This window comes from Homo sapiens, chromosome 20 (assembly GCF_000001405.40).
Source record: "Homo sapiens chromosome 20, GRCh38.p14 Primary Assembly".
In the NCBI taxonomy this organism is placed as follows: Eukaryota; Metazoa; Chordata; class Mammalia; order Primates; family Hominidae; genus Homo; species Homo sapiens.
The window spans coordinates 19040958-19056319 of record NC_000020.11 but is presented as its reverse complement, the minus strand read 5'-3'; the positions used below and the strand labels follow the sequence as shown (position 1 = coordinate 19056319).

Here is a 15362-nt window from a genome sequence, read left to right as displayed (position 1 = left end):
GTATCTCATTGTTGTTTTAATTTGCAATTCCCTAATGGCATATGATGTTGAATATTTTTTCATATGCTTATTTGCCATCTGTACATCTTCTTTGATGAGGGATCTATTCAGATCTTTTGCTTATTTAAATTGGACAAAAATCCCAATTTCCAGATGGACCCACATGAGTTTTTGTTGTTGTCGTTGTTGAGTTTTAAGAGTTCTTTTTATATTTCAGATATAAGTCCATTACCAGATATTTGTCTGGCAAATATTTTCTCCCAGTCTGTGACTTGTCTTTTCATTCTCTTAACAATGTCTTCTGCAGTGCAAAAGTTTTTTATTTTAATAAAGTCAAATTTAAATAAGCGTTTTCTTTCATAGATTCATGCTTTTAGTATTTTGTCTAAAAGCTCATCACTCCACCCAAGGTCACTTTGATTTCTCCTGTGGTTTGTCCTGCATGTTTGCAGGTTTGTGCTTTACATTGAGGTCTATGATCCATTTTGAGTTAATTTTTATGAAAGGGTTAAGATCTGTGCCCAGATTTTTTTTTTTTTTTTTTTTTTTTTTTTTTTTTTTTTTTTTTTTTTTTGGCTTCTGGACCCTCAATTGTTCCAGCATCATTTATGAAAAAGACTATCTTTGCTCAATTGAATTGCTCTTGCTCCATTGTCAAATATTAGTTGAGTATATTTGTGTGGGTCTATTTCTGGGCTTTCTATTATGTTCCATTGGCCTATGTATCTATTCCTTCACCAATACTACACCGTCTTGATCATTTAATTTCTGTCTTGATTACTATAGTAAGCCTTGAAGTTGGGTAATGTCAGTCCTCCAACTTTGTTCTTCTTGTTCATTATCGTATTGGCTGTATTGGTTCCTTTGCCTTTCCATGTAAACTTTAGAATCAATTTGTCAACACCCACAAAATACCTTACTGGGATTTTCGTTGGAATTGCATTAAACCTGTAGATCAAGTTGAGAAAAGCACACATCTTAACAATACTGAATCTTGTAATACCTGAACACAGAACATCCTTCCATTATCAATAATAGATCTTCTTTGCTTTCTTTCAAAAGTTTTGTAGTTTTCTGCATAGATATGTATAGATCTTTTGCAAATTTTATTCACTTTATGCCTTACCTAAGAACTTTTTTTGGTGTTAATATAAATGGTGACACTTTGGTTTTCACAAAAAGGATTAAACGAATGCCTTTTTAAAAATTAAATTAGCTAAAATTGTACTAATTTGTTTAGCTGTAAAATAATGCTGTTTGGTGCATTGTGCTTGGTTAACCAAGAGATGGAGGTTTAGGCAGAAAAACAGTGATTCTGTGTGTGTGGCTGCTCAGCCTGAAGTTTTTAGAGGAGGGAGAAGGGCCACTGGGTTGGACAGGTCATAAGGTGGAAAGTCTGAGGTGGCCTTGAGAATCCCTTAAGGAACCTAAATAAGCCCAAGACACTGGGAAACTTGGTAGGGAAAAGTGAAAACAGGGTTATTTCTATCAGTAACCCATAACTTCCCAAAGCCAACAAGAAGGTCACTTTGGTTTCCCAGCTAGCTAGTAAACTCCGTTTCTTTCTGTGCCTGCTTCCTAATTCCAGAAACCCCAGGGCTGACACAGCGTACTTTGTAAAACTTCTTGCAGCAAATCAAAGCTAAGACCATTTTCCTCAGGCATCTTCAGCTTTGTCCATACCTTTGTTAGACATGGAACAGCCCTAAAGGGCAGCTCCCAGGTTCTGTCATAAGCCTGGAGACATGATATCTTCAGGTCTCTTAGGGTCTAGGATTGGATAGGAAAACCCACAAAGAACCCAGGTGTGGTTGGGAACCCGCAGAGTAGTCCCCTGTTGAGGCCTGCAGCTTCTCACAGCCACTTGTCATGGCTTTTCATCCTCAGAGCAAGAAGACGGACTAAACAGCCTTAACTGTGAACTATGCTCCAAAGCAAGGCACATACGTAGAGGACCACCTCCACACATGTGTTAAGGGAGACCCTGCCATCCCACAGCAGTGGTTCTCAACCTTGAGTGGCATCAGAATCCACACAGTGCTTCTTTTATTTTTTATTTATTGTATTTTTTGAGATGGAGTCTCACTCTGTCACCCAGGCTGGAGTCCAGTGATGTGATCTCGGCTCACTGCAAGCTCCGCCTCCCGGGTTCATGCCATTCTCCTGCCTCAGCCTTCCAAGTAGCTGGGACTACAGGCATGCACCACCACACTCGGCTAATTTTTTGTATTTGTATTTTTTTTGTAATTGTATTTTGTATTTTAGCTTGTATTTGTATTTTTAGTAGTGACAGGGTTTCACCGTGTTAGCCAGGAAGGTCTCGATCTCCTTGTGATCAGCCCACCTCAGCCTCCCAAAGTGCTGGGATTACAGGTGTGAGCCACTGCGCCTGGCCCCCACAGTGCTTCTTATAGCTCAGATTCCTGGGCTGCACTCCTGGAGTTCCTGATTCCTTAGGTCTCCAGTGAGGCCTGAGAGTTTGCATGTCTAACAAGCTCTAGCTGCTGGTTTGGAGACCATACTTTTAGAACACTGGTCTACAGATCTCCTGTCTTGTCCTTTCTAGTCTAGAAATCATGCTTGTTTGCTCATGGGTTCTAAGTGACAGCCAATCACCGCCTTCCTTTGCCTTAGTGGGGAATGAAAGAGACAAATTTCTCCCTAACTCTTTGGCCAAAACTCTTCCAGAGGCTAATGACTTCTCATTTCTCCTTCTCTGCTCATTTGCATCCTCTGTCACTGAGTACAGGTCTCATCTCCTCTAAGCACTTGGTGGGAAGAGTTCAGCCTCATCCCTCATGGCAGCTCCAGTCAACACCCAACAGAGACCAACCAAAGCCAAGTTGCTGGAAAGGGACTCTGAGTGGCCAGTTTGGGTCATGTGACTCCATTGCCCACGGGAGCAGTCTCTCTGAGAAGAAACAGTGTCAGAGCAGGTGGATAAGCAACATTCCTGCCTCAGTCATAGGCCCCAGTGTTCTCCACTGTCCGTCAGTAAGCCAGGCTTGCTTGTCCTGCACATCTCACTGACACCAACAGTGGAAGTGCTGATTTCTTCCTGCTGGTAAGTTGCAACTGGCTTTGATGAAGTACTCATATATGCAATCTCCCCAAGTGCACTGACATTCAGTGACCATCTCTGGAGTATCTGCCAAGTACCAGGAAGCAGAGTACAACTGTCACAGCCGGGCTCAGGCATCAGAACGCTCGGCCACAAATCCTGGCCATGTCATCCTAGTCCCTATCTCAGGATGGCTGTGGGGACCAAAGGGTTTAACCCACATGTGTGCTCATTGTGCTTATCATTTTGCATGCATACATCCATTCACTTCTCGTGGTAGACATATATCATCAGTATTACCATCCCCATTTTATGGATGAGAGAATTGAAACTTAGATGAAGAAATCTACTTAAGGGATTAGAACCCCAGGTCTGTCTGATTCCAAAGCTCATGCTAGTAAACTTGATGTGAGATTGTCTCTCCAGATTGTATATGCCAGACACACATGCTGGATACTTGCAAATATACTATATCATTTAGTAATATGTTCACATTGCACAAATATGAATATGGATATGGATATAATATAAATATCTCATATAATATAAACATGAGTGTGTGTGGTTAACAAACAGCCATGACAGCTGACCTCAAACAGCAAGCAGCCTGTAGTGCTGCCTACTGAGTTTAAACAACTTTCACAGAATACAGGCATTCAGACAAGGACACTCAGTGACCAGGATGAAACAAGACAGAAACAAGAGCCCTCTATAATTATGTCTAAACCTAATTAGAGGCAAGGGCACACTGCAACCACAAAATTAACTAATAATTAGCTTCTGTTTCTTTACCAAGTGATAACTTTAGCCCCATTTTAATCCTCCAGCTTCCTAGATAACAATTACGAAGATACTCAACAACAGAACTGTTTCTGCTTTCTAATAAGACCCAACCCAGAAGTAGCCTCCACTTCCCCAAACCCTCCTTAGAATCACCCAACAAGCCCACACCCTATCAGAAGCCCCATCCCAGTGTCCTGTTTCTGAGATACCCGATTCCCCTGGTGTGTGCTTTCCTCTTCTGCAGAAAGTTAAATGAACCTAACCTTGCTTGATAAGTGTGTTCCTAGAGTCTCTGACTAGTGTGGCTTTGGCAATTCATATGCAACATACACACATACACACCATTCTAAAGCATTAAATAGTGTGTTCAGTGATTGATTGTGTCCACCAAATTCAACAAACTCATATGCAACTACTTCAGCAAATGACCAGCTGAAGGACTCTTCCAGATTCCAAGCTCAGTTGGCCCTTGGTCGTCTCTCTGTGCAGAACCCACTCCATGCTCCCTTAACCTGGAAGCCAAGTCTCAGATTCCCTGGGGAAAGCCCCAGGACCCAGACTCATTTTCCAGCAACTTCTGCTAGCACAAACCTGCAGGCCTAAATCAGGGATTACAAGTGTCTAAGAAGTTGGACTTCCAATCATCAGAATGCAAGCACACACCCAAATCAAAATGTGCACAATGTGAGGGGAAATCTCATGAGGAAGCAGAGAAGGGGATGCTAATTGCAAATGTTGAGGTGAGACGGAAAGCCAGAATTCCTTCTGAAACAGAGAGGAAAGAGCCCTGGTTTTGGAGGGAGAGTCTCTGCCTGGCTCTGGAGTGTGGCCAGGGTGACCTGGAGCAGAGACTGTAAAATAAAGAGATTGAGCAAGTTACCTGATGCTCCAACCTGAGGCCCTGTGGGCCCCCATACTGACCTGTGTGGGGACACTGGGAAGGAGCTGAGAGGGCCCTGGAAGTCCCCTCCCCCACTGCCCAACAACTTTGCTCTAATCTCTCATAAGCGTCTATTCTCATTTAGACAGTGTTAAAAGAAGGGCTTTAGCAGATAACAAAAGCAGTTTGAAAAATCACTGGATTAAAAATATCTCTGATAGCCACAACTTTATGTCAAGAAAGGACAGTATACAATTATTAAACACAAAAGGAAAATAAAATGTTCAGACCATTCTTCAAAACTTGAAGGTCAAAAGTCCGATGGCCACTTTCAAGCGGGTATTGACGGAAGGTTCTCTCGCTCACAGGGAACCTGAATGCGAAGTTGGGCTGATGGACGGATTTGAAGATAGTATTAGCATGCTACTTCCATTTTAACATTTAAGTAGGAATATATAATGTCATAATCTTAAAGAACTAAGCAATATGGAGGTTGCAGATACCGCAGAGAAACGGAGAGAAGGCAGTCTTGCTTTGAGTCCCTCAGTATGCACCACGAGCAGCTGGAATGTAAGGCTAGCCCTGTTAAGGCCCCCGCACTGCAGGGCACAGCAGTTAGAGCCATGAGTCGAGCCTTACGGATGCTGGGAGGGAGGGAAAGTAGGAGAAGGGGCTGGTGGTGTGATTAGAGAGAAGGGGGAAGTGTGGGATTTGAGCTTGAGATTGGGGACCGGGGAATGGGGTGGGACTCGCTAGGTTGAGGATCCTACCAAGCACAGTGAGCAAGTAGGGTGCTTGTTAACAACCCCTCTGTCAGCTCATCGCCAAAGTGCAAAAAAAATGCAGAGAAGTGTGCTCTCCCATATGGGCTTTATATTTTTATTTTTCATATTTTTAATATTATCGAAGTATGACAACTTTACAGGCAATTGCACAAATGCATATGAACTTACATGAAATGAACACACACTTAGCCATCCCCCAGAACCAGAAGCAAAACACTGCCACCACCCTGTACCCCCAAAACCTCCTCATGCCCCAACTACCTCCCCACATCCTGCCTTCCAAAACCATACATTAATGTTTCTTCTTCTTGAACTTCATGTAATGGAGTCAGACACAAAAATATGCACTCTTTTGTGCCTGGCTTCTTATGTTCAACATTATCCTTGTGAGGTCCATTCATGTTGCTGCAGGTTGTTCATTTTGTTCATTCTCATTGCTGTAGTAAGTATAGCACAAATTGTTCAGCAATTCTACTGTGGATGGACGTTTGTATTATTTCCAGTTTGGGGCTACTATGAATAATGCTGCTAAGACCATTCTAGTGCATGCCTTTTGATGCACTATTGCATGCATTTCTATTGGGTTTATTTCTAGGAGTGAGATTGCTGGGTCATACTGTATCCATATATATTTGGCTTTATGAGATGTTACTAACAGTATATCACAATGGTCATATTAATTATATTCCCACCAGAAGTACACCAGAGTCTGTGGACTTTTTAATACATATGTCATGGGGAAAAAGAGGAAGAAGAGGAGAAGGGAGAAGAGAAAAAGAGAATAGAATTGGCCCCATGAAAATGACCTCTCTCCCCTCTTTAGGTCATCAGAGGATGCAAGTGAGAGTAACACAAGCTTTGGCCTCTCTTGAGGGCCGTGAGAGAAAAGCACATGCACAGGCTTTTGCCGCAGGGGCCTGCACTCTGAGTAGGGTGTGGTGGGTGGGGTGGCATACTGAAATGTCTGACCCTGCTGGGCTGCGCACCTCCCACTCCAGCAAGCCACACCACCCCTGGAGCCCAAGGCAGATGCGTCCTTGCCCTCAGGGTTGCCAACAATTCCTCCTGACATGTGCTTCAGGCAGAAGCCCAGATGCACCAGTGATGCGATGTACAGAAATGATTTTTCCAATGACTGTGCCAATGTAACTGCGGCCAAACCACCCCAGGGACCAACGGGAGCTGGTGATGACTGTGCCATGTTCGGGAGGTCACATGAGGCCAGCAGAGGATGGAAGAGACCAGCAAAAAGTAAGGTTGTACTTTTGATTTCTCCCTCCTATAAACTTGTCATGAAATAGTTACCCCTGGTAGAGTCAGCAAACAGGGCTGGACCAGCAGCCCAGTTAATGATGACTGGGTGGCCTGGCTGGGCCCCGTGTCTACGGAGCAGGAAAACATTCGCGATCGTTCTGATCAACAGGACTTACCAGTCATGGGGATTCACAGTAGAGTCTTGGTAGCTGCTGCCACACATGGGGGGCGGTAGGAGCCAGAGCCAACGTAAAACATCTCAGTTTGCAGGGTGTGTATACATTCTATTTCCTCCTCGAGATTAAACACTCTCACTCCCTGAGCGCTGCTGCTGACAGCCTTCTGGGTGTAAATGATGTGAGATGTCTGCATTCTATGTCCATTTCAAGTTGAAAAGAGAGCAAGAATAAGATTATATTTTTAGAAGCTGAGAGATACAGGCTGGCTGGGGGGTTGAGAGGGAAAGCAAATTCCAGCAACCAAGCTAACAGCTGCTGTTCTGAAATGCAAATCTTTCATCCAGTCACTGGGAAGTTCTATGCTGTTTGAGAATGGCCTGGTCTGGCCTCCCTCCCTTTTCTTCATATTCCTGAGCAACTTCAGGAGAGAGAGCAAAAAAATCTTTAAATTAACTAAATAATTAGAAGATAAATTAAATAAAAGATTACCTTCCATCTGGTTGGAATGGAGCCCTGCCTGGAGTCAAGGAGACAAACCAGATAAAATCCTCTCAAGGAAATGGCTTTGGTGAGGATGGCGAGATTTCCTGTTTCAAAATACATATAACCTAAATGACAAGAAGAAAGATATGTATTGGTGAGCATCTTCTTGGCTCTTTGTTTCTAGATCTAAACACTTCAATTTTAAAAAAATTTATTAAATTCTGGCTGAGTGCAGTGGCTCACACCCGTAATTCCAGCACTTTGGGAAGCTGAGGTGAGAGGATCACTTGAGGCCAGGAGTTCAATACCAGCCTGGGCAACATAGAGAGACCCCATCTCTAAAAAAAGAAAAAATTAAATTAGCCAGGCAGGGTGGCACACACCTGTAGGCCCAGCTACTCAGGATGCTGAGGTGGGAGGACCCCATTGAGTCCAGGAGTTTGAGGCTGCAGTGAGCTATGGTTGCACCACTGTACTCCATCCAGCCTAGGCAACAGAATGAGACCTTGTCTATAAAAAAAAAAAAAAAAAAAAGAAGTATTGAATTCTTTTCATATGCAGATGCTATACTAAGGTGTACAAAAATTCTACTTCATTGAAGATACAAAGATGCATAAGAGAGATCCCCTCTCCAAGGAACCTGAAGTCTAGAGGAGGAAACAGATGGATAACCCCTAGCAATGCCACGTGGTCAGGAAGGAACTAAGCAGGAAGACCATGTCCTGTCTTGTCCACTTAGCAGCTGTGTACCTGGAGGAGCTCTTACTCCTCAACATTGTTGCAGGAGTCAAACAGACTCAGGTACGTAAAGCCCTAGATTGGTAAACACACACAAATGTCAGTCCTTCTGCTGAATCACCTGTTATCAACGTGGCACCCCCAGGAGTCCCATCTGAGACTTGGAGCCACTTCCTAGCACTCCTTTCCCTGAGAGGTTCCAGGTTTGAACATGAATCTTATTACCAATGAGAAGCCTGTGGTGGGAAGGCAGGAGGAAAGCTCTTGGGAGGTCATGTTGGCTCACACCGCAGTTTTAGGGAGCATGTGGTTTAGCAAACCTCACTGGGCACTCCCACTCTGGCAGGCAGTCACAGCAGCTTCTCAGGCACGCCCAAGAGTTCCAGTCTTTCCAGTTCTGAGTTGTAGGTGACTGTTTCTCCTACCCTTTAACTGCAGCCTTCAGACCATGACTCTCCCAGCCCCTCCCATGTTTGGGTAAGCCCCAATCCTGTATGAAACCCTTTATTTCTTTAACACATTTAGCGACTCTGTTCTTACCAACCAGGCTGATATATTTTTCATCCCAGAGACATAAATGACGAGAAATAATAAGGTGTATTTAGGGACTGGCTGATAGTCTGACATAGCTGCCAAACACCAACATATTTTGAGAACAAAGTCACAGCCAGGCAATTCTGAGCAGACCTGCTCAGAGAATGTGTGTGCATGTAAGTGTCTGTGTGAAGAACTCTTCATACAACTTAGGATTGGAGAGAGCAAAGGTCCTTGATGCTGGACTCAACACTGAGCACACTCATAGGTTTATGTGCAAAAGTTTGTCATGTTCCATTATTTTACTGTGATACTACTCGTGGATCTGCAGGTCAGCCGTAGCTCTGTTGGATTCAGCAGAGGTTGGCTCCACGCTACAGGGCAAGTTTGGTTCTGCTCTGTGTAACTTACATTCTGTAACCTAGGATGAAGAAGTTACCTGGGGCATCCTCTGCAGGATAAGTAGGGTTCTGCTGCAACAGTGCGGCACAACAAAGAAAATAATCTACCACAGACTCCCGGGATCCTATGTGCATCCAGCCTTTTTCTATTATAGAAACTGGACTTTATTTTTATCCCCCTTTCACTATTTCTCAGTTCTCAATGCAAAAGTTTTACTGGCATGATTACTCAATAAACAAATAAATAAGTAAATAATAAAGATAAAGAACAGTGACACTTTGTGCCCTAAACTTATGATCTCTGGAATGAGGTGTCCACACTCCAGGGGATAGGGCAGGCACTTCTTTGGGGGTACAGAAATAAAATATTTATCAAATTAAATATTTAAGCCCATATTTATATTTTTTTAACCAAAAGCAACCTTAGCCTTCCGAGAGTTAATGTATGGAATGACATGGCATTGCCAAAGGATCTGTGTGCTAGTCATGTCCCCAGGGATCCTGAAGGAAGGAAGAGAATTCTATGATGCAAAGGGGTTGATAGTGATTTTTTAAAATCTTAAATATTCCTTGATATGGTTTGGCTCTGTGTCCCCACCCAAATCTCACCTTGAATTGTAATCGCCATAATCCCTGCATGTCAAGAATAAGACCACGTGGAGGTAATTGGATCATGGGTGTGGTTTCCCCCATGCTGTTCTGATGATAATGAGTGAGTCTCAGGAGATCTGATGGTTTTATAAGTGTCTGGCATTTCCCCTGCTTGCACTCACTCCATCCTGCCCTGCCACCTTGTGAAGAATGTGCCTACTACCCTTTCACCTTCTGCCATGATTGTAAGTTTCCTGAGGTCTCCCCAGCCATGTTGAACTGTGAGTCAATCAAACCTATCTTTCCTTTGTAAATTACCCCGTCTCAGGCAATTCTTTATAGCAGTATGAAAATGGATTAATACAGTAAGTTTCTCAACTGAAATTCCAGGAAATTAAGTCCTAATGACCTAAGACATCCACTGAATGTAAGAGATTAGCTTCACCCTGTGCATCTAGAATAGTACTAGCTAGCCATACAGAGAAATACAGGAAAATTATTCAAATCACTTTCTGTAGGTCATAATTCAGTTCAGAATGGCTGGATAAAACCATCACGTTCAGCAAGACAATTTTTTGAAAAGCATCAAAAACAAGAAGGCAAACCTTGACTTTTTTCAGTGATGTTTAACTGAAACTACTTTACTACCTTACAAAATTTCAAAAAAATTATTTATTGGTGGACAGAAAGCTACCTTACCTTTGAAAAAACACTTGTCTTTCTTCAACAATAAAAGATGACTAAAAGAATCCATGGAAAACAGTATGGCAACAAATGAAAACACATCCCTTCATCAGCAAACACTGTTGGAATACTCACAGAAAACGCCACTGAGGAAATAAGCATTTGAGCAAGCATTCAGTGCAGAAGACTGTAAACGGATCAAGTACAGATGTTTCTAACAAGTTTTAGCTTATGGAATTTGCCAGATTGGTTCCGATAATCCACAAAGAAGTATTTTAGGAGATCAGTATAGTAAAGACGTGCAAAGAAAGATATAATCTTAACAACTGATTTCCTTAAATAAATGCAAGTTCTTAAAAGATTAAAAAGGAATTTTGGGGTAGGGCTGCTAGGATGGTATGACACATGCCACATGTCACACATTGCCTCATGCTGGGCGCACTCTTGTGGCTAATATGTTACAGTCAGAAGTACCAAGGATTACAGGATGTCAATGATGTTGGAAAACTTATAAAATTAGGACCTTTAAGATCAAGTAGAATTTTTATAACACTTCATAATAGAAGGGGACTTAAAATTTTTTTGTGACCTATGAATATTTGTACGTTATCTCACAGCAAAGTACTTAAAAGATTTGTCAGACTTAAAGACGTGTTATACACTTTTCTTTTACAAAAAGACAAATGTTTCAAATTTGCTGATCTCCTCTGTGATGACAAGTGGCTGTCATTGCTTTGCTATCTAACAAATATTTTCTTTTTAAAAGAAGTGCCTCACTGTCCACTCAAGGTAAATATGACATTTAAACAAAGAGGGAAAAGACACTGTTTTTCAAAGAAATGTCTATTATAAAGAGAACATTTTTTAAAGAGATGTTTGGGTATGTGACATGAATTTTTTTTTCCCCAAAATCATGTGTTTTACCTATAAAAATGCTGCTATTTTCACACTTTAGAAATTTGGGACCTTTTCTAGCGTGTTAGACCATCTTCCAAATGAAGAGTGTCGGGGGTTTTAAAACACTTTGTTCAAAATAGGCAAGCACAAAAGTTTCTGATTAGTTTGCAAAAACAAGTAAAGGTTACCAAGGAAGAATAAAATCTGCTGGAAAAATTCTAACAAAAACCTTTGCAGTTGGGCATGGTTGTTCACACCTGTGATCCCAGCACTTTGGGAGGCCGAGGCTGGCAGATCGCTTAAGCTCAGGAGTTCAAGACCAGGCTGGGCGACATGTCAAAACTCCGTCTCTGCAAAAAAATACAAAAATTAGCCAGGAGTGGTAGCGCATGTCTGTGGTCTCAGCTACTCAGGAAGCTGAGAGGTGAAAGGATCACTTGAGCCTGGGAAGATGAGGCTGCAGTGAGCTATGATGGAGCCACTGCATTACTCTAGCCTGGGTGACAGAGCAAGACCCTATCTCAAAAAAAAAACAAAAAAACAAAGCAAAACAAAACAAAACCCTTTGCAAAGTTGAGGAACAGATTGAGGAATGTGTATCATAATTTGGTATGTATAGCTCACAATGTATAAAATTGCTACTATTGAACCAGACTTAACAAAAAAAAATTGACAATTTTATATGGTTCAACCTAATCTATATGTTTGTGTGGCGTCTAGTAACCTAGACTCTCACGGCTGCCCTGAGAAAGGGACTTGTACCCCAAGCCCACCCATCTCCAGCTCCAATAAAGTAGAAACTTGGGGTAGTAACTGGAACTCCAGGGAACCAAGAACCTGACACCTCACTTCCTGATTGCCCCAGGAGCCAAACATAATTGCCACATGCCTCTAGGGCCTAAGGCAGCCATGAGTGGTCTCTAAGTAGATGGGCCAAAACAGGCTAAGAGATCCCTTGCATAATGAGGGAAAGAACAAAAATGTTCTGTGTGACAGAGAGAGAGGCCCAGCAGTTTGGTTGAAGAAGGATATAATAATGGAATTAGGCTGGGAGTGGTGGCTCATGTCTGTAATCCCAGCACTTTGGAAGGCCAAGGCAGGAGGATCGCTTGAGCCCAAGAGTTAGAGACCAGCCTGGGCAACATAGTGAGACCTCGTCTCTACAAAAAAATTTAAAAAATTAGCCAGGCATGGTGTTGCCCACCTGTGGTCTTAGCTACTTAAGAGGCTGAGGAGGAAGGATTGCTTGAGCCCAGGAGTTCAAGGCTGCAGCGAGTTATGACGATGCCACTGCACTGCAGCCTGAGTGACAGAGCAAGACCCTGTCTCAAAAATAAATAAACAAATAATGGAACTGGATATCTATGAGGAAACTGCTAGCATGAATCAATGACTGAGGGCCAGATGGAATGAGGTCTATCATGGAAAACTGAAACTGAGAAAAAGATGGGCACCCCTCACCCCCAATCCCTGAACACTTTGGCTCTCTGAAGTTTCCCAGAACTTAATGCAACTGGGATGTTACAGGAGGAGAAACCCTGAACTGAAAGAGAGAAAGTCTCCACCACTCAGACAAATGCAAAGAGAAATCAATTCTGTTAAGGACAAGCAGAAAAAGTGACATTTCTGGCTCACCTGAGGGTGTGGCCTGAGATGGACATTTCTGTGGGATTTGGCTATCAAGGGAGGTGATGGCCCGTTCTCCCAATGCAGGTGGTCTATCCTCCATCTTGAATGAGAATTCCTTGAAAGTATAGATTAAGAGAAATATGGAGGCATTTCCCAACTACACTAAGAGCTTTTACAAGATGCCCTTGGCTTGGGATCTGTAGGAAAAGAAATGCAATTCTGAATCAGAGGTGGGCGTATGGCTCCTTATTTGTTCAGATACAACAGCTTTAGAACAAGTGCCTCAAAGTTATCATTTCTCTCCTCTTACCCTGTACCCCTGCCTTCAAAATTCTTCAAAATAAATGCAGCAATTGATTAGAACAGACAGATTCTTGAGAGCTAAAATATCAGGAGATATGGAGCTTCCATATATCTTCCCATTTCCCCAGCAATGTTTTCACTGGGGAGAGACGAGCACAAAAGCAGCTGTAATCCGAAGTATTGATTCTAGTGCTGAAAACATCTTTCACCAGTCTCTGAAATTATATTGTCAAGCAAGGAAAGCAAATAGGATGAGCATTCTTGTCGATTGTGGCTATAAAAATGGATAAGGTGTTATGGACCATGGATTTTCAGGGAACTCACTTCCATCTTCTCAAAATATCTTCCTCTAGGTATCCACCTCTCAGGTTTATAAGCTCAGTGGCTCCATAGTCAAGCATGTCTGCTCTAGTGCAAGGATTTTGCAAGTAATTTCTGTGATATTTCTTAATTTTTTGGAGCTTCCAGGGAGGTTTCCGAAAACAGAAAGTCCTGGTGAATATGCTGGAGAGTAGCCACTTTATCCTTGCAAGTTATAGATTACCAGATACTTAGCAAGACTAAGGTAGATGATAGGAATACAATGATGATAAACAGGATGAAATCCCTACTTTTACTGATCCTACAGTCTAGCAGAGAATACAAACACAGACACGCACCTCAACACCACACAAACGGGGCTGGGATAGCAAAGAAACACCAAGAAGAGTCATGCAGAAAAATGGAAGGTTTCCCAGAGGACGTAGCATCTAATCCAAGTCTTAACGATTAAATGAAAATGTCTTGGCAGAGAAAATAGAGTAGACAAAGGCTGACAAGCCTAAGAGAGATTTGGGGGGATCTGCAGAGAGTTCAGTATAATGGAGATGACACATGATTTTTTTTCCAAAAGGGTTTATTGAGGTATAATTTAAATGTAATACAACACACCATTTTTAATGCTCAGTTCTGTGAGTTTTGGCAGACGCATATAATGATGTAACCACCACCAGAATCAAGATATAGAAGAATTCGATCACACCCAATTTCCTCCAGTGCTCCTCTGTAGCCAATTCCCTCCCCTGACTCTTTGCCCCTGGTCACCACCGATCTGTGTTCTATCCCTCTGGTTTGTCTTTTCCAGAATGGCATATACATGAATCACAGGGTGTTCAGCCTCATGCATCTGGCTTCTTTCACTTATCATGATGCATTTGAAATTCATCCATGTTGTTGTGTGGATTACATGAGATTCTTGATGCACCCAGTTGGAGGCTGTGTACATTTTACATTCACACTGATCATGTGATCATACAAATCTAAATGGTAATAAAGTTTTAATTATCAGGGGAAATCATAGAGGGGATTCTGGAAATACGGGTGTTTACATGCATAGCTGTTTACCTCCATCTGGAACTAGCAAGTCACAACCAACAATCACCTTCGAAGAGAAAGCTCTTGCCTGCCCCTGCTCCCTGTTTTGCATGTGGTCCTTAGAAGGCTTCCCTAGTCCACAGACTTTTGTGAACCTGGAAAGCTGCTGAATACTGAAGTGCATTGGCACCAGTTTCTGTAGATGAGGGAGTTGCTGTCACTTGCCCCAAAAAAGACCTAATGACAGAGAGGCTCCTCCCATACTCCAGCAAAGTGAACCCAGTTTTCTGAGTTTTACCCCACAACCTAATGAGAGCAAAAATGTTTGTCCCTTACACCATCTGCCAGTTGTGATACTAAAGCTATAACCTGTAAAAATTCTAAAGGAATATACACCCCTGAGAAGATAAATAAAATGAGGCCCATTTAAGAAAGTAATGCTTATTCTTAGCTGATTCACTGGAATCACCTGGGGAGTTTTAAAAGCTACTGATGCCTTTGTTCCACCATCAGAAAGTCTTTATTAATTGGTTTCACCGTTTCCTGAGTATTGGGACTTTTGTAACCCCCCTAGAGGGATTCTCATGTGTGGCCAGTGTTGAGAACTGCCAGATTAAGGAATTCCAGCAACCCGAGGGAGAATACTAAGTTTAAAAGAAGAGCAGATGACAATTGTTTAAATAAAGCTAATGGAAAAGACAGATGAACTTAAAAACAACAACAACAAAAATAAATGAGAACTCCCGAAGGGCATTAAATTTAACACAGAACAAAAGATTTTCTAGAACCAGAATACTTATTTTTGAA

General features: G+C 42.3%; 2 long non-coding RNA genes across 5 annotated transcripts, besides 1 other annotated feature; one reads left to right on the top strand and one right to left on the bottom strand.

Annotated features, from left to right (window-relative positions):
- The first annotated feature begins 2818 nt into the window (after window positions 1-2818).
- LOC107985442 (uncharacterized) lies at window positions 2819-8286 on the top strand. Its single transcript, XR_001754521.2, has 3 exons — window positions 2819-3064; window positions 6591-6765; window positions 7987-8286. It is a non-coding gene; the product is annotated as an uncharacterized LOC107985442 (long non-coding RNA).
- Window positions 5590-11554, bottom strand: LOC102724734 (uncharacterized). 4 transcript variants are annotated; one of them, XR_001754519.2, is made up of 4 exons: window positions 11528-11554; window positions 7432-7550; window positions 6940-7136; window positions 5590-5946 (listed from the first exon to the last, which is right to left on the bottom strand). It is a non-coding gene; the product is annotated as an uncharacterized LOC102724734 (long non-coding RNA). The 4 variants fall into 4 exon arrangements; XR_937306.3 differs by lacking the exon at window positions 11528-11554 and adding an exon at window positions 8389-8464; XR_430280.4 differs by lacking the exon at window positions 11528-11554 and adding an exon at window positions 8285-8371.
- Window positions 7256-8455: an enhancer, noted in NCBI's record as "CDK7 strongly-dependent group 2 enhancer chr20:19028509-19029708 (GRCh37/hg19 assembly coordinates)". NCBI's record gives its function as "activates an origin of replication core promoter dependent on BRD2, BRD4, P300/CBP, MED14 and CDK7 cofactors, with strong dependence on CDK7, by STARR-seq in HCT116 cells {active_cell/tissue: HCT116}" and the evidence as "EXISTENCE:reporter gene assay evidence [ECO:0000049][PMID:35650434]".
- Window positions 11555-15362: the final 3808 nt, after the last annotated feature.